This window comes from Homo sapiens, chromosome 12, assembly GCF_000001405.40.
Source record: "Homo sapiens chromosome 12, GRCh38.p14 Primary Assembly".
Classification (NCBI taxonomy): Eukaryota; Metazoa; Chordata; class Mammalia; order Primates; family Hominidae; genus Homo; species Homo sapiens.
Window position 1 is genome coordinate 15,556,414 of NC_000012.12, and position 27,755 is coordinate 15,584,168.

The 27,755-nt window shown below is 37.9% G+C and overlaps 1 protein-coding gene across 9 annotated transcripts in view, besides 1 other annotated feature; it reads left to right on the plus strand.

Moving 5' to 3' along the window:
* Positions 1-27,755, plus strand: part of PTPRO (protein tyrosine phosphatase receptor type O) — a 275,824-nt gene that overhangs the window by 233,906 nt on the left and 14,163 nt on the right. For 4 of the 9 annotated variants that reach the window (XR_931316.4, NM_030667.3, NM_030671.3 and 1 more), the window contains 8 exons: positions 1,042-1,110; positions 3,780-3,863; positions 9,180-9,215; positions 13,004-13,085; positions 22,440-22,530; positions 23,626-23,702; positions 24,284-24,418; positions 25,266-25,388. Coding sequence is in view for 7 of the 9 variants with exons in the window: in NM_030667.3 (NP_109592.1) it covers positions 1,042-1,110; positions 3,780-3,863; positions 9,180-9,215; positions 13,004-13,085; positions 22,440-22,530; positions 23,626-23,702; positions 24,284-24,418; positions 25,266-25,388 (697 nt within the window). In the remaining 2 variants the exon portion in view is untranslated. The other 5 variants (XR_007063106.1, NM_002848.4, NM_030670.3 and 2 more) reach the window with 2 other exon arrangements.
* Positions 14,628-14,817: an enhancer, noted in NCBI's record as "active region_6068". NCBI's record gives its function as "activates an Ori minimal core promoter by ATAC-STARR-seq in GM12878 lymphoblastoid cells {active_cell/tissue: GM12878}" and the evidence as "EXISTENCE:reporter gene assay evidence [ECO:0000049][PMID:35858748]".

Consider the following 27,755-nt stretch of genomic DNA (forward strand, 5'->3'; position numbering starts at 1 on the left):
AGATACATGAGCCCCAATGAGCTGTTATTCATGCATGAAATTAGCCAAAAGATAGAGAAGGCATGAGAATATGTTTACTTTTTCTCTACTTCTGGAAAAAAAAAAAAAACTTCAACAGTGTTTTTACTAGCAGATTAATAGGCCACATTCCGGACAGTAGGCACACCAGAAGCTTGCCTATTTCAATACATTCCACTCTTTTATTCTAATCTCCAGTGATGAATAATACGGGCATCACAATATAAGAGAAAGATTTTGGAGGAAGTAAACAATCCACTTGATCCACTATCATTGTAGGGAGGAAATCAAAATGCCATAAACAAAACCCTACAAAGAATTTTTGCTAAAGATGGAAAATGCTCAGTTCATCTAGGAGAGTTTCTATGTTACTATTAAAGGCTTTGTAAAAAAATAAATAAATATTATACCCCAAATAGTTCAAATATTTCTTTTAGAATCATGAATGCCCTTTGGAAAGGATTGTGAAGTGAATTCTTTTGGCCTCAAATAATTTGATTTGCAAACTTGCAAAAGATTATTTCTTTTCGTTTTAGCTTTCTGTTTTGCATTGTATGCCAAAAGGGAACATATGGAACTTCTATTAGCTTCTTTTATTTTGTTTTTTTTTTTTTTCTTTTTCTTTTTGAGACAGAGTCTTGCTCTGTCACCCAGGCTGGAGTGCGGTGGCGCGATCTCTGCTCACCACAACCTCTGTCTCCCAGGTTCAAGCAATTATCTTGCCTCAGCCTCCCGAGTAGCTGGGATTACAGGCAAGTGCCACCACGCCTAGCTAATTTTTGTAGTTTTAGTAGAGACAGGGTTTCGCCATGTTGGCGAAACTCCTGACCTCAGGTGATCCGCCCACCTCGGCCTCCCAAAGTACTGGGATTACAGGCGTGAGCCACCGCACCTGGCCTAGCTTCTTCTTTTTTTTAATTTAATGCTGTGATGATAAGCTGGTAAAGACTCTCTTTACTTTTAGGTCAACGTAAGAATGCTTTGTCAAGCAGTAACCTTGATTTTGTGGTTCCTTTAAAACAGGGAGTGTGGAGCTGGTACATTTGTCAATTTTGCATCCTTAGAGAGGGATGGAAAGCTTCCATACAACTGGTGAGTATTGTTTTGGAACAAGCTTCTACATAGTTTAACTATGCTGTGTGTGCTCCAAAGTCGATTTTACTATCCTTTGGGGATAGTTTTGTCTGATTATCCTTTTGTAATTTCGGTGATGGTAGACTTTCAATGGCTAGATCTTCACAGAATATAATGGTTTATATAAGCTCAGTGCAGTTCTGAAGTAGGGAAAGCATCATGGTCTGCTCTGTATTTACAATACTAAACAAGGGACTGAAACAGTGGTGCACACGCAGGAGCCCATACCTGTGCTGAAAAAGGGCTTAAATGCAGGAGCGCCGCTGAACAAGTGGTGGCTAAAGGCACGAGAAGAGATTCCAATGAAGCAGCTTGCGACAGATCGGCTTCTCCATTTTATTTTATATTTTATTTTATTTTATTTTTTATTGTTTTGTATTTTTTGAGGAGACAGAATCTCCCTCTTTCGTCACCCGGGCTGGAGTGCAGGATGATCTCAACTCACTGCAATCTCTGCCTCCTGGGCTCAAGTAATCTTTCCACCTCAGCCTCCCGAGTAGCTGGGACTACAGGCGCGCACCACCAAATCTGGCTAATTTTTAGATATTTGTAGAGATGAGGTCTCACTATATTGCCCAGGCTGGTCTCGAACTCCTGGGCTGAAGTGATCCTCCCACCTCGGCCTCCCAAAGTGCTGGGATTACAGGCCTGAGCCCCCATGCCAACCCAGCATCTCCATTTTAAACTCACATTTCAGTGCCTGAGGCAATAAGAGCCACCACTTCTGTTAAAAAGTTGTACAGCCCAGTATTCAGTTCTCATGCTTACAGATAAATAAATATCAAAGCCAGTGAAGTTTCATAAGAAAACATGGCTTCATTTTTCTTTATGCTTGAGTATTAAGGACCCGGAAGGAGGAAGTGTTCGAATTTTAAAGAGCATTGTCAAGAGATTAAATTGGTTGACATTATACCTGACAATGATAGATGAAGATTAACAATCCTATCCAGTTCAATCAATGCCCAACAAAAGTACTAATTAAGTAAACATTTAACATGAAGCTAACATGTACTACTTACATGGTCTAGTTTGTTTCTTTTGCAAGAAACTATGCAAAGTATATGTAAATGAATATATGTCATATTAATCATTGTTCAGTTATTTCTTTCTGTTTACTAACTCCCTAAAATGGTTAATCTTAAAGAAATACACATGGGAGACTGGAAATTTTACAGAATCAATGAGGGAGGGAGAACTTTATTTAGGATATAAATTTTACTTCCCTCAGTGTAGCTGATACTCACTCTAGTTGAAAATCTAGTTGAAACCAGATTTCTTTTAATAAGGCAATATGTTGTGCCATTTAAAAATTTTAACATGAGTAGAATTTTGCTATTAAAAAACAACCCAACTGTGAAGAAAAAGAAATCCATCAACCCTTGATGGTGAAAAGTTAGGAAACGTTACTAGGTTTGTTCAAATATATTAGCACTCTTTCCAAAATTAAGAGGTTGACTCACTGATACTTGTTTCATGCCTGGTTCACCCTTGGGAGGCCCAATGGGAGATCAGTGATGAGTGGCCCATCTAGGAACCAATCCAATTATATGTATTTAATACTTGTGACTCATGAGAGATAGATATTAACTAACTTCACAGCCAGTCACAATTCATGGAATTTATGGGAGACCAGTCATGGGAGAGCTGAAGCAAAAAAGAATTCACTTCAGGATCTTTCTATAAAATCAAGCACATTTTGCAGCTCTTCACAAAGACAGTTTTGCCGACTCTAGCATTTTCTAGCTGACTGAGAATAGATATCTCAGTGAAGATTTGTAATAACTGAAGTGACAAGGTGACAGTATTTTTCCCCCTAATTCTCAGAATAACTATAGATGCAGTCACAGGATATTTTAAAATCTATATTAATGGGTGTTCTATTTGACAAGTGGTTTGAATATCTGAAACCAGGCATTTAAATCAACAGTCTGAATTAGAATTGAAGTGAAGCTAAACTATTTTGCTCCTACTTAGCTGAATATCAGTGAGGTCACAGACTAAGTAGTTGATGAGCTACTTATCTTGAATGAATGATATCCTTGTATCATCCATACCTCTGTTTTAAGGGTTATATTTATAAATTTTATAGTAATTTAAAAACAATACAGAAAGTCACACCTAGTAGTGCAGCTTTATTAAGAATGTCTCTTAAAAGCTTAGTCTTCACCGGAATCAGTATATGTAAACTGACCATTTTTATTTTCTCACACAAGCTGCTGTTTAGCTGTCAAATGATGTTACAGAGGTTTCTTAAAATAGGCTTAAGCATAGGAAGAATAATATCCAAGAATAAGCTTCAAGATAACTAATGAGGCATATAAGTGCTTCATTTAACTGAATGCAAAATGTAATCACCTGGTAGCAGACTAATTAACACAAAGTAAGTTGAAAGAAATATATCTGATTACAATAAGGTCATGTGTGAATAAAAACTGATTTTGTCAATATTGTAGCATTTAAGCCCGCACATTTATATTTCACAGAATGGATTAATATTTAATTGTAATTAAGGTGCTTGTCATATTAATTAATCCCAATAGGTAATTTACTGATATCTATTCACAGTTTATATTACTAACTCTTGCAACTTTTTCATCTTTCCATCTGTTGTCTATTAATGCACACAGGCGTAGGAGTATATTTGCTTTCTTAACCCTGCTACCCTCATGTCTTTGGACTGATTATCTTTTGGCATTTTATATTAATCCTTGGTAAGTGATTTTTTTTTACTGTTTAACACAAACTCTTTAAAAGTTAGCTTTCAAGAAGTAAACAAAAAGGAAAGTTTCTTTTTAACTATTTTGTATGTTCAGTAACATCTAAAGTTATTAATCATGTATTGAAGTGAATTAAAGCAGTTACCGGTACAAAGATATTAACTATAAGGTTTTCCGTTAAATTTTTTTCCGTGATGTTGTTGGCAAGCGTTTTTTCCCATTTAGTACTAGTTATTTGTTTCTTCATTGAGTCAATCCATTGGCCTCTCATCTTTGCAAATAATGCTTTCCATTTTCCATTATCATCTTCATCCATTAGAGAGCTCCAAATTTCCAAGAAGGTAGAAATGCATTAAGATGGAGAAATCAGAGTCTATACAATCCTCTGTATCTGAGGCCTCCTTGTTTTTATAATAATGCTAACTCAGTGACTATTAAACAGCTGACTATACGCAAGCCTCTTTGTATGATTATCTGATTTAATTTTCCCCCGCAATCCTGCAGAGAGTATTACTAGTCCCATTTTAGAAATGTGGAAATAGGGGCTTACGGAGATTTACTGTCTTAGTAGCACATTCCACTATGTACAGAATCCAGGTTCCAAACTCAGGTCTCTCTGAAATCTATTCTTTCCTCTGTAAAGAGCAGACTCCTTTAATTTCTTATTTTCTTAACTTCTGGATCATTTTAATAATCAAATCTTGAAGTGTTCCTTTTGACTTTTTAATATGTAATGATAACAGTAACCTTGAATTCTGAGACTAAAGAATTAAGAACTCTTTCTTTTCCTGTGCTATAAGATAAAAGGTAGCAGTTTCCAGGGGAACTGACAAGAAAATCATTGTCCTTAAATATTAATACCTAGTGTTTAGGTACTAAATTATGTACAGACAGATCCATAAATGTGGACAACTTGAAAAGGTCTCAGAAGAAAACAATAAAAATATCTCATAGACTGGAAAAAAAATAGCTTATGGGGTGGTGGTGCGGGTATGAAAAGCAATCTGGAGCATTTATTTATTCAAAAAGACAATTGACCAAATGTTCTCCAGCTCCTCCAAGGACAGAATAAATACAGCTGGCAGAATTTAGGATTTCAAGTTGCACTGGAAGGAACATAAAAAAGGATTTCCTCAAAATAGAGATTGTTAATTCCAGAATTCATATCTTCTTTTAAAAAAAGAGACTAGAGGAAAGCTTTTGAAACAAAGTAGACATGATGTGTAGGTAATAAAGTCAGAGGAATGTGCTAGATGCTGAGGACCCATTCACTGTTATTCTAAGTTCATTGTTACAGTTTTTAGTATAGGGCTTCAGCACAGTCAACTCCGTATTTTCAGTATTTGACATCAAATAGTTTTCAGGTATGAATAGCACACATAAATTCCATTTCAACCTTCAAAATATACATTTACTTTTAACTGAACATCTACTAATCATCCTCAAATAGTGTGCCTACCATTAAAATACTAACAGCAAATACCCATAAAGTATCCCAGATTGCAAATAAAATGAAAGAAAGATGCATATATCATTTCCTTGCTTAATTCTCTGAGACTTTCTCATTTTCCACAGTGCGTTTTTAAGCTTCTGTAAGGTAGGCCTGTGCAAGTAAGCATGTATTCCTTAATAGGCCTCATTGATGAACATATGCTCAAATTTCAGCAACCCTCACAAGGTCTGCTATTTCTAATACCAATCAAATAGCACGAGGCCCAACTTATGGGGAGAAAATACCCTTCAGTAATTTTTAGAAGAATCACCTTGAAACTGTAAATGGTTGTCTCCAGTTGAGAAGAGAAGGTAAAACATAGAGCTGCATGCTTTCTGTAACTTCAGTAAATTTCACACATATCAACTAGTAAAAACATACTGGATATAAACTATGTTCTCAGCCCTTTTGTACAATGCCAGATACAAAAGAAGTGAAATTCATGCTCCCCGCTCGTGGAAATACAGCTTCTACTCACACAACCACTCCAATTCCCTGTTTGCTTCATCTAATAACTTGTGGTTATTTTCCCCTGCTTTCATTGGCTAAAGAGTCATTTTTAATCCTCCTAATGATGTGTTTGTCTTCATATTTCACCTACCCTGTGAACAACAGCTGCAAATAACAAGAGCCATCTCCCCAGACGCACACTGCCTAACACACTGTCCAACTTCCTTTCTAAACTGTCGGTTTCTTGGAAATATATGTTCCTGTTGATTTTCTAAAACCCATCTGATGCCACTAGTGGTTTGTGTGGAAATCAAAAAACTCTTTCTCTCTCTCATAGTGTTGCTCGAATCTCTTCCTGGGGTGGTAGCAGAATCAGTGTGGAGCACCAGTACCCAGTTAGGTTGGTCTCAGGATTGTGTTCTGCAAGGATTTCTGACTTTCAGAACTTAAGAGTATGTTTCCTATTGAAAGAAATCATCTAAGTTGAACTAGCTATATCTAGATTCAGTGTTAAATCTTTTTTTTTTTTTTTACTGCCATAATGACCCTCATGCTGTACTCAGGTATTTATCTGCTTGTTCTCAATCCTAGGCAGTTGGCATTTTAAGCAAGAAGTGGCATTTAGTTGAAAATGCTCAGCTTTACTCCTGATGATTGCACATTCTATTTGAAGAATGATATAATATACTAAAGTCCTTTTTAAGGTTTGGGGATGGTTTCTGCTTAGCTCATCAAAGAGTAAGCAGCACTTACAAAATTGGAGACTTTTAGAGTTTTGTTTTGTCTTGTTTTAACTATTATAAATCTCATGTCCTTGCTATTGCTTTTTCGGAATGAATTGCAGTATGGATGGCTTTCCAAGACTGTCATAACCATGGCTAATTTATGCAGAATGTATCTTAACTTTTTGAAGTCATTAGGATTTTGAACCTTACCTAATATAAGTGAAAGAGAAAAAACTAAAAGTGCACAATCCTCTATGCATATATGCTGTAGGTATGTCTGATGGGGGTTATTTATTGATTTGGAAAATCTTTTGCAATGAAAAGGCGAACCCTACATGTCACACAAAATCGTCACTGTAACATGTGCACATATTGGCTCTTTCCAGAATGTGCTTAAGTTAAAATTGCTAGCAAAGCCTTAATTTGCGTGAATTTTCCCCTGGTTTTAGTCTCGGAATTAGCACAGCAATTGAAAATGTAGGAACATTTTATCAGTGTTGCTGTGGAGTTTCATAATTCAATCCTGTCATGTTCCACAGCCTTAGGATACAGAAACTCCTTGGAATCAGCAAGATCTAAATAGAACAATGAAAATTGTATACAAATCATGATTACTTATGCCAATAAGTATATGATAATATGTCATACAAAACATGTAGTGGAATTATACGTTATATTGAAAGTTCATTCAATAATGAATGAGATTGAAAGAAAAAAAATGTGTCTCTCCTCCATGAATCAAGTTTCTACGCAGCTGCCGAGTAGTAGCAGCTTAATATTTCAGCACTGAATTTATTCAGTGTTACCCTCTTACATACATTTGTTACTTCCTAGTTTCTTTTAAAGCCTGTTTGGATAGGAAAGTATTTTTTTGTTCACTCCTGATCACAAAATGTGTTGGCAGCCTCCTGACTTTACCAGAGCTGTTAGTCATCTCCGCTGACATTCTGCTTTCCGAAAGCACTGAAGTAATTGGCTCTTACTACAGGAAGTAAATGTGGAACTCCTAAAACTAACTAAATTACCATCACGGGGCTGAATAAAAAACATGATCAATAAATATTCCTTTAGGTTCCCAAATGCCTATAAGATACAGCTATGTCCAACATGATAGTGTTTTTTGAGGGGATCAGGGAGAGGCAAAGTAAAAACTGGACTGATTTTTCCCTCTAAATCTCAAGTGTGGAAGACAAAGAGGATGAGGGAGAAAAAATAGAACAAGAACCATTGAATGGATTGTTTTCACTTAGAAGTGGGAAGAAATTAAAACTACCTGAAAACCACAAACACCACTTGCCTTCGTGGACGTGTTCCTACATTTCTTGACCTGCATTATTTTCTCTTCATCCACAAGTCCCATCTTTTCAATCAGAACATCACAAGCCCAAGTCTAGTATTCAATTGTTAAAGGAATCATTAGGTGAAATTCAGAGGGTAACATGGCAGAGATTATTTTGTTTCAGTTCAACTGAATAAGCATTTATTGACCACCCACTAGGTGTTTCATTAACTATGCTCAGCCCTGGGGGGAAGCTATAGTGAGTGTAGCAAGGTGTGTACCTGCAACTAACAATCACACAATGTGAGAAACTCTCCGTTTGCAAAGTGCTGTGAAAGCACAAAGTACTGCTTCGTCCTGCTAAAAGCTTTCAGGAAGTGGAGATATCCAAACATTCATAATTTTAAATATAAATAAATATTTGGACACATTAAAGTACTAAGATTACAACTGGTTATTTACTATAGACTGTTTATTTTCTGAAAAGTTGGGTGCTTCTATCAAAATTATGTAAAGACCTCTGAAAATTACTTGCAAAAAAGTTTGCTGTAACATCACTTGTACAGTCAATCATGTTTCTGTATTTACTATTTATAGACAACAATAAGAATACAATCACAAAGTGCTTCAATAGATACTGTTAGCCTTAGCTAACTTAGGTAAGTTATCTTACTTGGTTGGGTGAAAATCATTACCTTAATTATCTCCTAAACAAATGTAACTAACTAAAGCATGCATTAGCATTTCCTGTGTTTGAGCTTATAGACTAGTAATGATGAAGAGCAAGCAGGTAATAGGTCCAGTTCTTCAGATAGCTTAAAAATTAGTTCAAGATGGAATAAAAACAACGCCATAGTAGAATTATACAAGGTACATGTCCACACTGACAGCACACATTCACATCCCCAGAGAAAAATGTCAGAAAATGTTATTTTAGTCTTTAATTAAGAAAACAACATTCCACCGTCTCTTTATTAGTTCTCCATTTATTCCCCCATTCTTCCTTCCTGCCTGTAGAAATTGGAGTGTTCAGGTGGTAGATAGATACTTCTATATATTTACAAACTGCTTTAGCAACTTAATCAACAGCAGTTAGAAATTTCATTTCTAGAACTCAGTTTTTGGCAAATGGGAAGTATAAAGTGCAGATATGTTCATGCAATCTAGTAGAGTTTTAAAAAATGAATCTGAAATTATTATTATCTTCTCATGTAAGGAAAAGTAAACAAACCTGATATGTGTTTAATGAAAATTAAATAAAACTGAGGTACCTGATGTAATTATTTAAAGCTGTTCAAGTTTAATTATTATGTTAATCAATTCTTCTGCCCAGATAAATTTGTCTTTTCTTTTTTAATTATCAGGAGTAAAAATGGTTTAAAGAAGAGGAAACTGACAAAGTAAGTTTTTCTTACTATGTCATTTAAAAGGATGTTTGTTATAATAATCTTAACGTTCCAATTAAAGATTGCTTGTCTTCAAAGAGAAGGGACGCTTAAGAAAGAGGCAAATGCATATTACAATAGCTAAGCACAATAATGTACTGGTTGTTTATGCCTGAGTGGCAGTGGCCACTAGAAAAGTGTATCACAGAAATCACATCAGAAATAAGGACAATGTTTATCATATCAAATCTGAGAGAGTGGATCGTTAGCAATTTTTAAAGTCTTGGAGGAGGAAGTATGGTATTCTAAATACAGTATATGAAAATCTAATATTTAACTACATCAAAGGGTTTCAAAAATCCTTTTAGTATTTTGAAATTCTGTGTTTATTGCAGGAAAAGGCTTTTACTCTATTTGATGTTATAATAGATACTTTGATAATGCTTTCTCAAGAAACCTGTATAATAAATAGAAAAGATAATTAATCTAGCCTGTGGTTTTCCTTATCTATTAAACCATTAAATGAGAAGAATTACTATTGTGGTAAGTGAAAATTAACCCCCAGTTGATTTCAAAAGCCTATTAGATTATCACCTCCATGCCTTTTCTTAGTTATAATTCTACATATGAAAAGTGGAACTTTCCTTTATATAGAGTTTGTTCTTGATACCTGCCTGGATAGAACATTGGTGAATTAGTACAAGAAGGAAATTAGGGGGTCCAGCCAGGTCTGTGGCATCTATGCTTATGGAAAGAAATCATGAGTAATCCATGACATAATCCAAAAGAAAAGTTGATGTAAAAATGTTTCTAGTTAGTCTTGAGTGGCATATAATTTTATGGCATATATGAAAACAGAATAATTTTTTCTAAGTCAATTTCATTTTTTATTTTTATTTTTTAATTTATTTTATTTTATTTTTTGGAGATGAAGTCTCGCTCTGTCACCCAGGCTGGAGTGCAGTGGCACAATCTTGGCTCACTGCAACCTCTGTCTCCCAGGTTCAAGTGATTCTCCTGCCTCAGCCTCCCCAGTAGCTAATACTACAGGCACACGCCACCATGCCTGGCTGATTTTTGTATTTTTAGTAGAGACGAAATTTCACTATATTGGTCAGACTGGTCTCGAACTCCTGACCTCATGTGATCCACCCTCCTCAGCCTCCCAAAGTGCTGGGATTACAGGCATGAGGCACCGTGTCCAGCCTCTAAGTCAATTTCAAACCAGCATACATTCCACTGGCTTATACCAACTGATGTAGGAGAGATAAGACCAGACTGAATAGAGGAGAGGGTACCATCACCTGGGAGGGATGATTTCACAGAAACAGAAAGACTTTGTTACCAAAAACTGTTGGTTGGGTTGGCAGGTGAGCTAAAGAGGCAGAGACTAGAGCATTTAGAAGATAGCGTCCTTGGACGAAAAGGAGAGACTGTCAAGGCTTGCTCCTCCCATGACTCAGGCAAAGAAAAGAAGGAGAAGCAAGACCCAGACAAAAGATAGGGTAGAGATTAGGAGTGGTAGAACATACCCACAAGCAAAAAAAAACTCACATCAATTCGGCTTCCACCTTCCCCCCTCTCATTTTCCTTTGACTCCTCTCTCCTTCTCTAGAAGACATTTCTTGAAAGGCTTTCCTCTCACCTTTTTATTTGCCTTCTCTACCATTTCTCTTTCCCTCCAAATGCCCCACCACTACCATATCCCCCTGGTTCCCATTTTCTATCTCCACTTGTCTTCATTCCATCCTTCCTTTCCATCACCTCCTCTTTTTCTTTTTCCTCTGTAGATATTTGTCCTTTTGGTCTCTACTCCCTTCCAGCTTTCTTTTTCTTCTCCTTGTCATTCTCCTTCTCCCTTATGTCCATTCTTCTGTTTGCTATTCCTTCCTCTCTCTCTCTTTTCCCTCTGCTTCTTGCTTTTACTTCTTTTAACCCATTAATACTTTGTCTGGTTTGCCTTCTGTATACATGTGCCCATTTTCCTAGTAACAAGATGAAAGCTAGAGTTGTTAAATCCAACTTTAAGGTCGATACACTGCCCAAAGACACCAGCCAGAGAGTGCAGTTCTAAGGGGGTTCATTCCAGGAGAGGAGTCCCAACTTTAGCCCATTCTTTTGGAAGGATAACAAGTTTGAAGTGGGAAAAGCTTTGAACCAGGACTTACTCTCCCTGGATTCCAGTGAGAATTCTACTGCTTAGTAGACATGTGATGTTGGGCTACTCACTTAACTCTCTTAGCCGTGGCTCTCTCAGCTGGAGCATGGAGCTAATGTTGTCTATTCCTACCTCAGGGATCAATTAAGCAAGATAATGCATGTGACTATTTATGAAGTGTAGCGTGTTTTATAAATGAGTTATTGTTATTAAGTAAAAACATTTCAGTTTAAAGGTATTCTCTGGAAGATATAACGCCCTCTAAAATTTACTAAAATGTTAACATAAATGAATTAATCAGATTAGCTAATCAACAACTTTAAATGAGCATTATTAAATACTATGTATTTTCTAATTGGACATAAGACCACAGTTAGGCCAGGTGCAGTGGCTCACACCTGTAATCCCAGCACTTTGGGAGGCTGAGGCAGGTGGATCACTTGAGGTCAGGATTTCAAGACCACCTTGGACAACATGGTGAAACCAAATCTCTACTAAAAATACAAAAATTAGCCAGGTGTGGTGGCACCTGCCTGTAGTCCCAGCTACTTGGGAGGCTGAGGCAGGAGAATCGCTTGAACCTAGGAGGCAGAAGTTGCAGTGAGCCGAAATAGTGCCACTACACTCCAGTCTGGGTGACAGAGTGAGACTCTGTCTCAAAACAAAACAAAACAAAACAAAACAAAACAAAAAAGACCACAGTTAGATGATATAAGCTGAGTAACACACCACAAGACCAAGGGAAGGGTCAACTATAAAGACCCTGCCAAAGTGGAAAGGCTTGAGTTAGATGACAGAATGTGGAATTCTGCAGAAGCAGAGAGCTACTTTAGAGAGCAAATTGGTTTAGGTAGGCTCTAGAGGAGATAAGCAGCTACAGAAAACTACAGGAGATAAAACTTGATTCTTATTCTCAAAAAAAAGTGAGAACTTCTGCTGCGGATGCAGAAACATAGCTCAGATGTGTTACTTGATTGAACCTCTGAGCCATTTCCATACTTTTATAGATATGCAAGCCTCTAAAGATAACTCACTCCAGTGAGACCCTGGGAGCTTTCTGGACAAAAGTTTCATCCCACTGATCCTGCCTCTGCTTTGGGGAGACTGTAGCTAGCAGCACAATTCCTTATACTTGTAAAGCTGTTGAAACTTACAAAGTTCTTTATGTACTGTATGTCAACCCTGTAGCTGTAACTACTGTATTTTATGGATGAGAACATTGACTCTGAAGAGTTAGGCGATTCTCTAGGATAACACAGTCAATAAAGCAAAACCATAACTCAAACAGGTCTTTGGAATCCATTCCTTTGTTATTTTCCATATGCCAGAGTTTTTTAGAAGCAACACAGATGGGGGTGTGTGTATACGAGTATGCATATATATACTACTGTACTGCTACAGTAAGAGCCAAGTGGAAATCTAGAGATTTCTCCTATCAAGGAAGCTGGATATATATGCCCTTCTTTTCAATTGCAATATATTAAGGATTGGTAACTTGAACCAAAAAAAAAAGGTGAGTGCTAACCTTAGAGAAGTAAAACTTCTATTTTCTCCAAGAAGATTAAGAAGTATGATATTAAACAATATATAATACCTATCAACAAGAATTTTAAAATGTATGTATATTTCTTTGTGTTTGGCAAAGCCCGGTTCAACTGGATGACTTTGATGCCTATATTAAGGATATGGCCAAAGACTCTGACTATAAATTTTCTCTTCAGTTTGAGGTGAGTTGGTTAAGGCATTTTCTACCTTCTGTAATGGAAAGGGCCTGGGAATTGGGGGGTTTGTGTTGCGGTCATGTCCCTGCTCACTGGCAGTGCGTAACAAAAAGGGTATTGGCCTGGGGATTGCTGATCTGCTGGTTTAGAGCAAGGGTTGTCAATCCTTGCTTAGTAGGCAAGGCCTCAGGTGGCACAAATGAGATGAGGGGAAGAAGAGAATAGGTGCAGGTACTGAGGTGAGCAAACATGGGTATAGTAGAAGCCATCATTGAAAACCAGGGAAATCGAGAGTACAAGAAGAAAAATGCAAGCTGAGGCATGAAGCCTGAGACAGAATTTCCCTTTCAGGGGATTTGTAGTGTTTCTCATGCTTCTTAGGCCACAGTAGTGGCGGATAGTGGATAAAACTGACCCCCTTTGTGTCCTGGGCACATAACATCCTGGAGTAGGGCTTTTCAAGCTATAGGACTCCTGGCATTCTACTTAATAACTTTTGTGCAGTTTTATTTTCTTTCCTTGGACAAATTGGGGAGATAAAGTTACACATGATTTGTGTTAAGAAAAAAATTGACAACATCTCTTTTTTTCCGAAGGACACATATTTCTTTGGATCTAAAACCATATGTCAGAAGAGATGGAAGTGAGTGAGTCTAATATCTCAGCAGTGTGGGGGAAGATAATTAGTTCTCACTTTTTCTTTCTACATATTTTATAGCTCATAACACAGTCTAAATGGCCCCCCATCCTTCAGGTTTCTATAGCATGGCTTGAGTGGTCAGTGATTCAGGGAAAAGGGGAAGATAAAGTGATTTTTCTAAATTCTGTAGTTTTTTTTTTTTATAAAGCCTTTTAAGTGCTCTTTTCTATTAAGGTAGCTGCTTTTTCTTCAGTTTTTAAAATCATTTCTCCTTTCCACTTCTCAGCCAAGGACAGCTTTAGTCTGCAAAAAGCATCAGTGGTCCTGGTGTGGAGACACTAATGGGGAATTTGAGGATGAGAAGAATCTTATACATTACCAAATACAAAGACCGCTAACTACCACCTGTGTCCTGAAAAATTCCACACAGAGCCTGCTCACTTATCCATTGTATCCAGGTGCATAGGATATTATAGATGCTACACCAAATGCTATACTCAAAGAAATTCAATTTGAATTGGAAATGAATGAGGAGGATGGCATTTCAGAAAGTATATCAAGGAAAGGAGGACTTTTTTTCTAAGCAAACATGAGGCAAAACTCTGAAAAAATAAATAGCTAGATGATTCTAACGATGATAGAAATTATGGTATAGCTACACTTTTACCTTATTAAAGCCACATTTTCTTAATTCCTTCAAGATGGCATGCCCTTGGTGGCACAGCTGGATCATAACCTCTGCTGGCAACTCACAGTTTATGTCTTGAAACCCAAGCATAACTATTACTGTTTCTGAATTGCATGAAAAAAAATTCAACAAGTCATTTTCCAGTAAACATATTCTTTTAGTTGTGAGTGACAAAAACATAGCTCAAACTTGTTTAAACTAAAGGAAAGGGGGTTTATTCAAAGGATACTAAGGTATCTCATACAATCAAAGAAAAGGTTGAGTAGCTAGACTACGTGCAGGGAAGCAGCACAGTTTCAGGGATGACTGGAGCCAGGGGCCCCTCTATTTCTCATTTCTGCTTCTCTCTCTGTTTTGGTTTCACTTTGTTTCACTGAACAAAGAGAAACAAAGAGAAACGCAGCCAGAGAGGGCAGATGTTTGTGTTCAGTGAAACAACAAACAACCTCTTTTTCTGTCACTTTTGTTTTGTTTTGTTTTGTTTTTTGAGACAGTCTCACTCTGTTGCCCAGGCTAGAGAGCAGTGGCGCGATCTTGGCTCACTGCAACCTCCGCCTCCCAGGTTCAAGTGATTCTCCTGCCTCAGCCTCCTGAGTAGCTGGGACTACAGTTGCCCACCACCATGCCCGGCTAACTTTTGTATTTTTAGTAGAGACAGGGTTTCACCATATTGACTAGTCTGGTCTCGAACTCCTTACCTTGTGATCTAGCTGCCTCAGCCTCCCAAAGTGCTGGGATTACAGCCGTGAGCCACGATGCCCAGCCCAACCTCTTTTTCATAGTGAAAAGCAGCCAACAACAACCCTTGAGCACCACAGCCTTTTGTTTCCATGGTTTCCAAAGGGAATTACTGTCTGTCTTTCTTGTTTGTAGTTTGAAAATTAACAGGGGAGGATTTTGATGGACGAGCCTGTGTCATGGTGCCCATTCAAACCAATCACAGCCAGAGAGGGCAGATGCACAGAATCTCTAAATGGAACCATGTGGGCTCAAGTAGCAAAACCTAAGAAGGGCATTATCTCCCAATAAAGAGAGGGTATTGGGAGAACCAAACCATAAGCGATTAGCATGCTATCTTTAGATATCACAAAAATATGAAAAGCAGAATTATAAATTTTATGTGCTAAATGTTCAATTTATAATATGCTGAGGGCTTTTATTCATTCAATGGATAAATGAATACATTTAGCCTGACTTCATAGGATTTATAAGAAATGTGCTAAACTAGGAATCTAAAATCCTGAATCCTCACTACAGTGTTGCTACTAATTAACATTCTAAAAAATATGTTTTTTTCTTAACCAATTGATATATAATGAGTTTGGGGTGGGCTTGGGGGCGGATGATGTATTAGCTACAGATTTTTTATGTAGTGAACATGCTCATGTATAAGTTTCAATTTATCCAACTACTTTGTTGGAATAATTCTTATGGATTGAAACTGCCCAGGCAAAGTATATACAAAATCTGCATTTTGAGTAAATTTCCCATAAGTGGAGTAAGTTTTCCCAGTGTTCCTAAAACTATACAAACAGTATAGTATAGTATATACTTCCTAAAACTATACAAAGAGTAGATATCAACATTTGTAATCATTGATAATGTAATATTACAAAGAAATTGCTTTCTCATCTGTTAACGTTAAGCTACATCATCTTCATATAGCACTATTAGTCATTTGTGTTATTTCATTTTCCTCTGTTTCTTTTATTTTCATGTACCTTATAATCTTCATCATTTTGTTACTGATTTCTAACAGCTGATTTATGATTAAAGAGGTTAACATTTTGTGAAGGGCTGAAAATGAAATACCATTTTTTTCTCATTTTTTTACATTGGGGTTTTATTTGGAGTTTGTACAGAAGTTGTGTATTTAAAAAATAATCATGTTCTGCTTTTTTTTAAGTACATTTTCTCATCACCTTAGTTTCTTTATGTATAAAATGGGTGAGTTGAACTAGATCAATGGTTCTCAACTGGACAAGTACCAGTCAGCCCCCAGATGAAATTTGAAAATGTGTGGGAGTGTTTTTGGTTGTTATAATAGCTTAGGAGGAGGATGCTAACAGTATTTTATGGAAGAGGGACGAGGCGTTAAATGCTCTTCAATGAGTGGGACATTCCCGCACAATAGAGAATTGTCCTAGGCCGAAAGTGTTTGATTGAGAAATATGGGTTAAATATGGGATGAGGCTACAATCAAGCTTTATAACCCATGTGTATTAGTCATGGGTTCTCCAGAGAAACCAATGGGATGTTTATATAGAACAAATATGATGTATATATAGAGAGATCTATTTTAAGGTATTGGCTTTTGAGGTTATGGAGGCTGACAAGTCTGAAACCTGAAGGGCAGGCTGGCAGGCTGGAGATCCAAGGAAAAGTTGAGTTTGCAGTTTTGAGTTTGAAGGCAATGGGGAGGCAGAATTCCTCCCTCCTTGTAGGACCTGTCTCTTCTCATCAGGCCTTCAAACTGACTGGATGAGGCCCAGCCACATTACGTAGCATAATCAGCCTTCCTCAAACTCTACTTACGTAAATGTTAATCACATATGAGAAAAACACCTTCACAGCAGCAGACTGGTGTTTGGCCAAGCAACTGGACACTATAGCCTAGTCAAGTTGACGTCTAAAATTAACCATTACACCACGATTTTAAAGTCTTTAATATTGTTATTTATTCTGATGCTCTCTTCATACATTTCTATTCTTAGAACATTATTGGTCATATATGTAATTAATTGGGTGGTAAGTCCTGACATTATTTACATATTCTGGTAGGAAAATACAACTTACTCTCTAGGGCTCTGTTTTAAGTCACAGGCTTAGACTGTATGTTTTGGACTAACATTTGCTCAAGCAGTGGCCCGCTGGTCCAATTTACTTCCTTCTTCATTTGACAGACTTCAGATATTACCAGTCCTCAGTCCCATTCTGCCCCCTACATCCTCAGGGTCAGCGTCAGGGTTTCCTCATCAATTTTCATAGAAGTAGTGTGCTCCCATGCCTGATTTCAGGATGTATGCTGGACCTTTCACATGGCAGCCCTCACATTTTTTTGAAATACATTGATAGTTAATTGAGACTTAAGGAAAAAAATGTTCCTAACTCTAATGAGAATTCAAGAGGGTATGAGATGGCCAAATCACCTTGGTCTAGATAATTCCAGCAGCTGAACTTGTACTTGTTCTGTTTATATTAATGCCTAGTATTTGTATTCATTTTGATACTGACATTGAAATATCACATTCACATTGAGAAATCACATCATTTATAAGCATTTTGCAGATTGAAACTAATGTCTGGATTTATAGATACTACCAATACAGCCATAAGTCATACATGAAGCTATATGAGTTACTAATTTGTGTTTACTGAATAAATTTCTTTTTTACTCTGAATCTGATTTTAAATCTGCTAGAAAGATTGATTATCCTTCTGATAAAAATATACACCGTTCCTTTAAAAGTCTTGGGACCCAGGGATTAAAATAGGTTCCTCATTTTTTACATTTCACATGGGAAAGATTTTGAAGAACCAGACTTTATAGCTGAAATGTGAGAGCCCAGAAGACATATCACATATTGCTCATTCTGCTATTAATGTCTGTGCTTAGTGTTTGATCAGGATACTAGTAAAGGCCCTCACCATCTCTGTTCAGACATGTGGCTGCAAAGATCAAAACAAAACTACAGAACTGGCCATGCAGTTCACAAGAGGTGACCTTTGATTTCTGGTAGTAGCTTTTACTTGCTATAGATGGAACCTCTTCTGTCAACACCACTGGCACTTTCTTTCTCCTCACTTTTTCCACCCCTTATGGACACGTAATCTAGTAATCTTAGTATTGTTTGAATAAACCCCCTTTCCTTTAGTCTAAACTAGTTTGAGCTATGTTTTTGTCACTCACAACTAAAATAATGTGTTTACTGGAAAATGACTTGTTGGATTTTTTGTAATCATGCGATTCAGAAACAGTAATAGTTATGCTTGGGTTTCAAGACATAATGTCCACCCTATCCCAAAGCAAACACCGAAAGCAAACTCTCACCTGCTGACATTGTTACAAACCCTAAGACCAGAATGCAGATTGTGCTCTCCTCAGAAGATGATATTGCAGGTTATGGGCTGAATATCTGTGGCCCCCCAAAATTCCTATGTTTAATCCCTAACCCCCAATGCAATGGTATTTGGAGATGGAGCCCTTGCTAAGTAATTAGGATTAGATAAGCTCATGAGGGTGAGGACTTCGTGGTAGGATTGTTGCAGGACTTTTCCTTAGTTCAGCTAAAGATGAGGTCCTTGTCCATCCCACAGCCATGAAAATTTAGGTTCACAGGCAATTTGGAGGGTGAGTAAAACAGGGTTTTATTCGGTGAAAAGGAAGAAAAGGGAGAAACAGGGACTCTCACTAGGCTGGAGTCCCTGCTAGAGCACTTCCCACTGGCAGCTTGAATCTCAGGTTCCACACAGGAAGAGGAGAGGCCAGGTTCCTTCCCCACTGCAAACATGGTGAACTTCCCGAGGCTCCACCTCTGTGAGCAGGCTAGTTGGAATTTCTCCAAGGACCCCCTCCCACCTGACTGTCTCAGGATCAGCCAAGATAAGATGCCTAAGAATGAAATCTACCTTGTTGCCATCTTGATCTTGGACTTCCCAGCCTCCAGAACTGTGAGACATAAATCTCTACTGTTTAAACTATCACTCTATGGTGTTTTGTTATGGCAGCCCAAGCCAACTAATGTAATGTATATGCTTGTGCTTTGCTTTCCAAGACCTGTATGCTTCAAACACAGCCAACAAAACGTAGCCTGCTACTGGGTTTGGGTGACCGTATTAGTTCCTATGGCTGCCATAACAAATTACCACAATTGTCGTGGTTTAAAACAACAGAAACTTATTCTCACAATTGCAGAGCCAGAATTCCAAAATCAAGGTGTCAGCAGGGCCACACTCCCCCTGAAGACTCTAGGGAAGAATTTTTCTTTGCCTCTTTCAGCTTCTGTTGGCCACAGCAATTCCTTGGCTTGCAGCTGCATAACTCTGATCTGTCTCCATCTTTACATGCCTTTTCCTCTTCTCCAGGATGATCTCATCTCATGTTCTCTAACTTAATTACAACTGCAAAGACACTTTCTCCAAATTAGATCACACTCACAGGTTCTGGGGGTTAGGAGGTAGACGTATCTTTTTGGGGATCACCATTCAACCCACTACAGATGACTGTATAGCCTAGAAGAAAAGGGTGATAAATTATATTTAGAAACAAAACTGACAAAAGAAAATTCAGAAATGATTTATGTGGGTTTCAGGTCCATCACTCCATAGTTTGTCTTCATAAAGATTTAAGCCAGTGGAATTTCCATATGGTTGGAAAGAAAATAACTTCAAAGCTGCTGAACTGGAAACTTAATATTTTATTTTCCACTTAGTGACAGGCTAAATTACAAAGGCTTCAAAGCATACTGTGTTTACATGCAGTTCCCACTTTGCTGCAATTCAACTTTGGCAACTTCCACTTACAGTGTTCAGCCAATTAAACCTCTCTTATCAACTTAGAGTATTTACAGCAGGAAGGCAACACACAATTAAAGTTCTGTCAGTTAGTCAGCTTCCACAATTAAAGTTCTGTCAGTTAGTCAGCTTCCACATGTGCTCAAACGCTCAGCCTCAATCTGTTTCCACCATTCCTTTTGTATCTGAGGCCTTTTCCCATGGCTTATCAGTCTGTCCCCAAAGCAAGAGAATTGGGGGAAGAGTTGTTGGTCTGCTGGCATAAATGGCAGAGGAGGAAGAAATTATGGAGCCAGGCAAAGCAAAACAAAGAATCATCACAAAAGTATTTTACAATGATCATCAATAGTGCTGTATTAGTATTTGTTGAGTTAAATTATTCCATTTGATAATCACTATAAAAAAGGAAGGTGTGGAGAAATTACTAGCCTTATCTTACAGGTAATTAAAGCAAAGTTTAAAAGAGTTTAACTACCCTTCCAAGAACATACAGTTTATAAGTGGCATGTCAGAATATGTGAGATATTTTGAAAAAATATCTATGCAGGCATTTTCTAAAGGAGGTAGATTTCTGAAATAATTTAAGCAATGGAAGCATCATTTAAATAAACTTATAACTACCAAAAGGAACTAACCTAAACATCACACTGATTTAGTTGAAATTTACTAAAAATAAGTTGCTTCTTACAAGAAAAATAGAGTCAACCTTTGAATACCCTTTAAAATGGAACACTCAGTTATAAAATAACAATGGGAAGCATCTGCCTAAATATATTTGGCAAGTAAGTGCCTGAGATGGAAAAAACCAATTTTGTGAGTTGAAAATCAAATGTAACATAGTTTGTATATAAAACTGACATCAACTTAGTCCAAAGAACTTCAGATATTGTCATCTTGAAAAGCCAAAAGAGATGAGGAATCAAAGGAAGAGAGAAATCTGGGCAATTTTTGTTGGTTCATCCATGTTGGCTACAGTCAGGCAACCCAATGCCATTAAGCGCAAGGTAATTTGCCACCAAGGATCTTCTAGTTAAAAGCATCAGAAGACCCAATAACTTGATTAATAAAGCATGTGCTTTGCAAAGAGCACTTGAATAAAGACACAAAGGGCATGAAACAGATATCCCTATTCAATCCTAGAACGTGGTCAAGTGGCTCCAATTCTCTTCAACAGTGTTAAAAGACCCTCCGAAATTCTTCTCCTAGGGAAGTATTCCTCCAGCTTTGATTCCTTGAAGTAATAATTGGGAGGAATTATGAAGAGTAAAACTTGTGCTCAATATTAACATTCTATAAATGTAAATAAAATTTATAACAAGTGATTTTTGCCTCGCTTAGTAGTCTTATAGAAAGATGCACACTATGTGGGTAATCCCACTTATACACAGTTATGTACACTGTTTACTAACATTCCTCTAACATTTGTATAGGAATATAACTAGATCCACTGCATTGGTTGCACATTGTACAACTCCAGTGAACACCGTTCATATAGACCACAATGTGAATGATGCCTCCAAGAAATACAGGTGGCCTGACCGTAATCCCCGTTTCCTGTAAGACACATGGCATAGCAACTTAGAAATCCCCCTTTCCCCATAACATACCCTTTTTGAAGTGTGACAGTTATTTATATAAAAATTTCCCATCAGTTCACCTTCTGAAATGAGGTTTATAAGAGTACCAATATACGCAGGCAGACATTTGGATGTTCTTATTCTCACTGAAGGATTTTCCCCAACAACTACAGATCCATCTTTATGTTTGAGGTTTCATTACCAGATATTTAGTGACTGTTAATCCCATACTTTGTAACATGGAGATTGTTCCCTACTCATTCCTCACTATTTTTTACTACTTTCTCTAAGGCTCATTGCCTACAAGAAAAAAAAAGCCTAGATTTCTTCAGAGAATAGGAAATATTTATACAAATTGCATAAACTTAAGTTACTCTATTCCTCCAAAAATCTGAAATGCATTTTTATTTTCAAATATTTCATACCCTGAGTGTTATACATATAGTTCTTACTTCTCCAAATGACCACTAAGTTATCCAAGGTATTTATGTGTTGTATTAGATAGCTATTACCACAATAATGCTGTATAAGAAACAACCTCAAAATCTCTACAATAACATTTACTTTTCTCACTCATGGGTCTGTGGAACAGCTGGGGCAGTTCTGCTTCAGGCTGTGGGTCAGAGTCAGGTCTGCCCTATGTGCCTCCTCATTCTCGGACTAGCAGCTTCCCTGGGCATGTCTTTTTCAGGGTAGATGGCAGGCACACAAGAGGGCAAACCAAACAAGCAAGTGCATTGAAAGCTTCTGAGTGGACTTGATTTCTATCTAAGATCATTGGCCAAAGCAAGTTGATGATAGTGGGGTGGAGTACCTTCCACCTCTAAAGGGAGCTACTGCAATGTCATATAGCAAAGGGCTTGTGAGCAATAAACCAGTTGAACAATAATCCAATTCACACCACGTATGGAACTCTCAAATCCATTCTCTGTCCTTTACAGGAGTTGAAATTGATTGGACTGGATATCCCACACTTTGCTGCAGATCTTCCACTGAATCGATGTAAAAACCGTTACACAAACATCCTACCATGTAAGATCGTCAATTGTGCCAATAACACTCATGTCTTAAGGGTTGAAGGACTGTCATTGCAGATTAATCAATTTCACCAATCTCTGGCCATACCCACTTGTGGTCCGGATCTCAAGGCCACGTCTGAGATTGCATTGATCTCACTCTCCTTTGATGTCTTTAGATCTTAGCATATGGAGGAAGATTTAATTATTGTGCTTTTAAATGAATTGCATCTGAACAAAAAGACTGATCATTTGGCCCTTTAGAGATTAAAGAGCCACAGTCAAATTGGGGATTGGATCATTTGTACTCTCATAAAATATTTTCAGCCAATTCATTGGTAATGGAAAGAGGCAAATGGGAAGGCGATGCAGTATATTAAAATGCCTTCTCTAACTTCTGACAAGTTATATAGTTGCTTAGCATTTTGTAATAAAAAGCAGCATTCAAGGAAAAAAAGGTAATATAAAGCACTTACAAAACAATTAAAATACATTCCAGTTTAGATTTCACTTTTCTCTCTGCTACACGCTGTGGAGCTAGGCATGAATGGAAAAGTGAGAAGAGAAAGGCTGAAAAAGCTCTAGAAAGAGAAGTCTCTTCTTGATATGGTTTCTTGATGAAATTAGATATATTATCATAATAACACTTCACATCTGTACACAGTTCAGAAATTACTTCTTTAATTTAATGTCCACCTACAAAAGAAACCCATGCATCTTCTGTTCTCTAGGTCTCCTTAAAGTAGTGAACTCTCTGGATATCTCTAGGTGAAATGAAAATCGTGTGCTTAGGCTATATACTATAGCTGTCCAATCAATCTCACAGATATTGTAGTTCCTGAAATACTCTGAACAACACCTAAACAATCCTGGAAACAATTCTTTCAAGGACAGGAGAGCTGGTAGTGAAAAAAAAATAGTGGTTGGAAGATATTCACTTATTTATTTAAACAACAAACCAAAGTTGAAGAATAGCTAAAATATCAGGCTAAAAATTATTATCTGCCTACTCTGTCACTGACTGATTTAACTTAATATTGGATAGAAAGGGCCAAAATAATTTTTCCTTCCATCTTGAATTTTAATATTTTTTTCTCCTTATTCTCTACAGATGACTTCAGCCGTGTGAGATTAGTCTCCATGAATGAAGAGGAAGGTGCAGACTACATCAATGCCAACTATATTCCTGTAAGTAGAAAAAAAAAATCAGGCATCCCAAAGCTAACCAGCCAGAGAAAGACTAGCAGGGCTATATGGATGTGTCAAACAGTTCAAAAGAGAGCCTTTCCCAACCCAGCAATTGAATTCTAAAAAGTTTGCATTACTCCGTTTCATAATAAAGAATAGAAAGAAAAAGTCCATAGATTACTAATGTTTCTATTTCTTTATAAAGGTCCAGTGAAAGGGAAAGTAGAAAGGTTAAAGATCACCTCTCTTATGTTTAAATTTCACATTCAGCAACCAAATTCAAAGGGTTCCACCCTAGCACCTGCACTTTTAAAATATAAAGACAGTTATTATTGTCATAAAAAGGTGTGGATGTGATTTTTACAGCCTTCTGGATAACAATGCTTACAATCACACAGACTAATTATGGTCAGTTATTCTGATAGCCTCTTTGATTAAAACAGGAGAAAACATTACATAGGTGTGTGATCCTTTGCCAATTTTATCACCAGTAAGTTTTCAGTTTTTTTCCCATAGGCGTGAAGCAGCATTTGGTGTTGACAGTGTCTGGTTAGGTGATAATTTTGTCACTTATCTTTCAGGGATACAACTCACCCCAGGAGTATATTGCCACCCAGGGGCCACTGCCTGAAACCAGAAATGACTTCTGGAAGATGGTCCTGCAACAAAAGTCTCAGATTATTGTCATGCTCACTCAGTGTAATGAGAAAAGGAGGGTACGTACTTACTGAAACTGCTCCCACTTAGCAGCAAAACCTGCCCTAGCCACTGCCGTTGATGAAATGCTTGCTGTTTTCAAAGTCAAATAAAACATAGAGACAAATCGCTAAATTTAAAACATTGTATTCGGGAAGCAAGAATTAGAATTTGGGGGTAAACACACAGACCCGGTGGTCTTTGCAATGTCTAAAGGAAAAAAGAGAAGGTTGGAAGTCTTCTAAAAAGGAGAAATATTGCATATTGTTTTGCAGGAAAGTTCATTAGCACTAGTAAAGTTTTGGGGAGCTGGCAAGCTCTGATTGGTGAATGCATGGTGGTGGGTAAAACTAGTCTCAGAGTCCCAACAGGCTGTTTCAGTTGCTGTTAGATACCACTGGTTTCAAGTTACTAAAGGCAGTTTCAGCAACCGGGGCTTACAGAGAATTACATTCCTGGAACAATGTTATGCGTTCTGAGTGCTTTCTTTTTTTTTTTTTTTTTTTTGAGACGGAGTCTCGTTCTGTTGCCCAGGCTGGGGTGCAGTGGCACGATCTCAGCTCACTGCAAACCTCTGCCTCCCAGGTTCAAGCGATTCTCCTGCCTCAGCCTCCCGAGTAGCTGGGGCATTCTGAGTGCTTTGTCCCCTGACCCCTCAACTCTGTTTTAGTTAGATATGATAAGAATGACCCAAGTCATGTGATAAGAATTCACACTACGTAGCAGAAATGGTTTGCTTTATGTTTCATCTTCACCACGGTCCTATCTAATTCTTTAGAGGCGAATACCTTTGTTTTCCCTAAGTGAGCACACTTAATTCCTTTCCTAGCCTGTTTGTTTTAAAAAATTGTTTTGTCCTTGCTCCAGGTGAAATGTGACCATTACTGGCCATTCACGGAAGAACCTATAGCCTATGGAGACATCACTGTGGAGATGATTTCAGAGGAAGAGCAGGACGACTGGGCCTGTAGACACTTCCGGATCAACTATGTAAGTCACCAGGCAGAGAGCAGGTGCTGTCCCTATGCTGACACCTGCTGAGACCAGTTTGGTCGGGGAGACCCTAACCCAGCGGCGCTAGAGGAATTACAGACACACACACAAAAATATCGAGTGTGGAGTGGGAAATCAGGGGTCTCACAGCTTTAAGAGCTGAGAGCCTCGAACAGAGATTTACCCACATATTTATTGACAGCAAGCCAGTGATAAGCATTGTTTCTATAGATTATAGATTAACTAAAAGTATTCCTTATGGGAAATAAAGGGATGGGTCTGGCTAGTTATCTGCAGCATGAACGTGTCCTTAAGGCATAGGTTGCTCATGCTATTGTTTGTGGTTTAAGAATGCCTTAAGCGGTTTTCCGCCCTGGGAGGGCCAGGTGTTCCTTGCCCTCATTGCGGTAAACCGACAACCTTCAGCATGGGCATCAAGGCCATCACGAGCATGTCACAGGGCTGCAGAGATTTTGTTTATGGCCAGTTTTGGGGCCAGTTTATGGCCAGATTTGGGGGCCTGTTCCCAACAGACACCTACACCACCACCACCAGGGAAGTGCTGGGAGACCAACCCAATGAGCACTTTGAGCTTTGCATTGCTGCTTCCTTCAAGAGGAAAAATCCATTCTCAGTGTCATTGTTTCCCATTTCATCAGTGATGGTGTGGATGATATGGTTGGTCTGGAGAGGCTGAGAAGACGCAGTAAAAAGTCTGCACTAGTTCATCTCGAATTAGCTCAAGATCATAGAAGACACTATTAATCATTGTTTATGAGGCATCATTGAGGACAGAAGTGTTCTCATTACTTATATTAATCATATATGAGTATAATTGGGGTATATAAGGCACACTTATGTTTTAAATTAAATAATTAAACCCTGATTTAGTAGTTTGGGTTTTGTTTTGTTTTTTTTCTTGTTTTGTTCTGGTTTGGTTTTCATTATTTGTAAGGTACTTCTAGGTCTTATTATCATAATTCCCTATCTCTCTTGAAGGGCTATTGATTTCTGATGGATAACACATCCAAAAAAAATGTCTGTTTTTCTCACAAGGCCTGACACCTTTCTGCTGACAAGTCTCTGAGCAAACGCTGAATATTTCTGTGACAGGCTTAGGTGTTAACATCAATTGAAGTCATGCCATTGACCTCAGCCTATAGAATATACAGTTTTTACTATTAATAGTCTTCTCCACTTGAACATGCTGTCTATGAAGACAAAATTGAATAGGAAAGTTCTCACTGAGATGTTCTTCCCTGCTTAGAAACAATCCTTTCTAATAGTTAAGGAAATAGCAAACTGTAGCCTGTGGACCAAATTTACCCACTGCCTTTTGGATAAAGCCCATGAGCTAAGAATGGTTTTTACATTTTTTAATGGTTGAAAAAAGACAACTGAGTATGGTGGTTCATGCCTGTAATCCCAGCACTTTGAGAGGCTGAGGCGAGCAGATCACTTAAGCCCAGGATTTCAAGATTGCCTGAGCAACACAGGGAGATCCCATCTGACTAAAAATTCAAAAATTAGCTGGTGTAGTGGTACACACCTGTAGTCCCAGCTACTCAAGAGGCTGAGGTGGGGGAATCACTTGAGCCCCGTAGGTGGAGGTTGCAGTGAGCCAAGATTGTGCCACTACACTTCAGCCTGGGCAACAAGAGCAAGACTCTATCTCCACACACACACACACACACAAAAAAAATCAACAAGAAAAATAGTATTTTATGTGAAATGCTATATGTAAATTATGTGAAATTCAAATTTCAATGTCCATATATAACATTTTATTAGAACACAGCCTGCATTGTTGACGAATTGTCTATGACTGCTTTTGTGCTACATCAAGCTTGAGTAGCTGCAACCAAAACTATATGATCTGCAAAAACTAAAATATTTACTAACTGTCTCTTTGCAGAAAATGTTTGCTGACCCTTAAAATAGGCAATGGAAACAAAGATTGCCCGTATCAATACAACGTTAGAACTTGATACTACCTACTGATTGATCTCTACAGGAGATAAATCACTTCTTAGCCATTGTTAATTGCCACTTGTTAACTGGCAGTTAACAATGTCTTTTATGACCAGGAGAATTCAGGCAAATCCCCGTATGACTCTAACAGGCTGTGTTTCGTGTTGTTTCGGTCATTTAAAATTCACATTGCTTCCTTGTTAAGCACGTTTTTACTCAAATGCAGAGTTTCAGCTTAAGTGTCACCCCCTTTGTGGCGTCTTCTCTGGGCTTGGACACCGTTAGCCCATTCCTTCTCTGGGGCAGAGTCTTAAGTAAGCTGCTTTATCACAGCACACCATAGATAGTTACAATTCTCGCTTCTTGTGTCTGCCTCCCCAGTATACTGTGAGT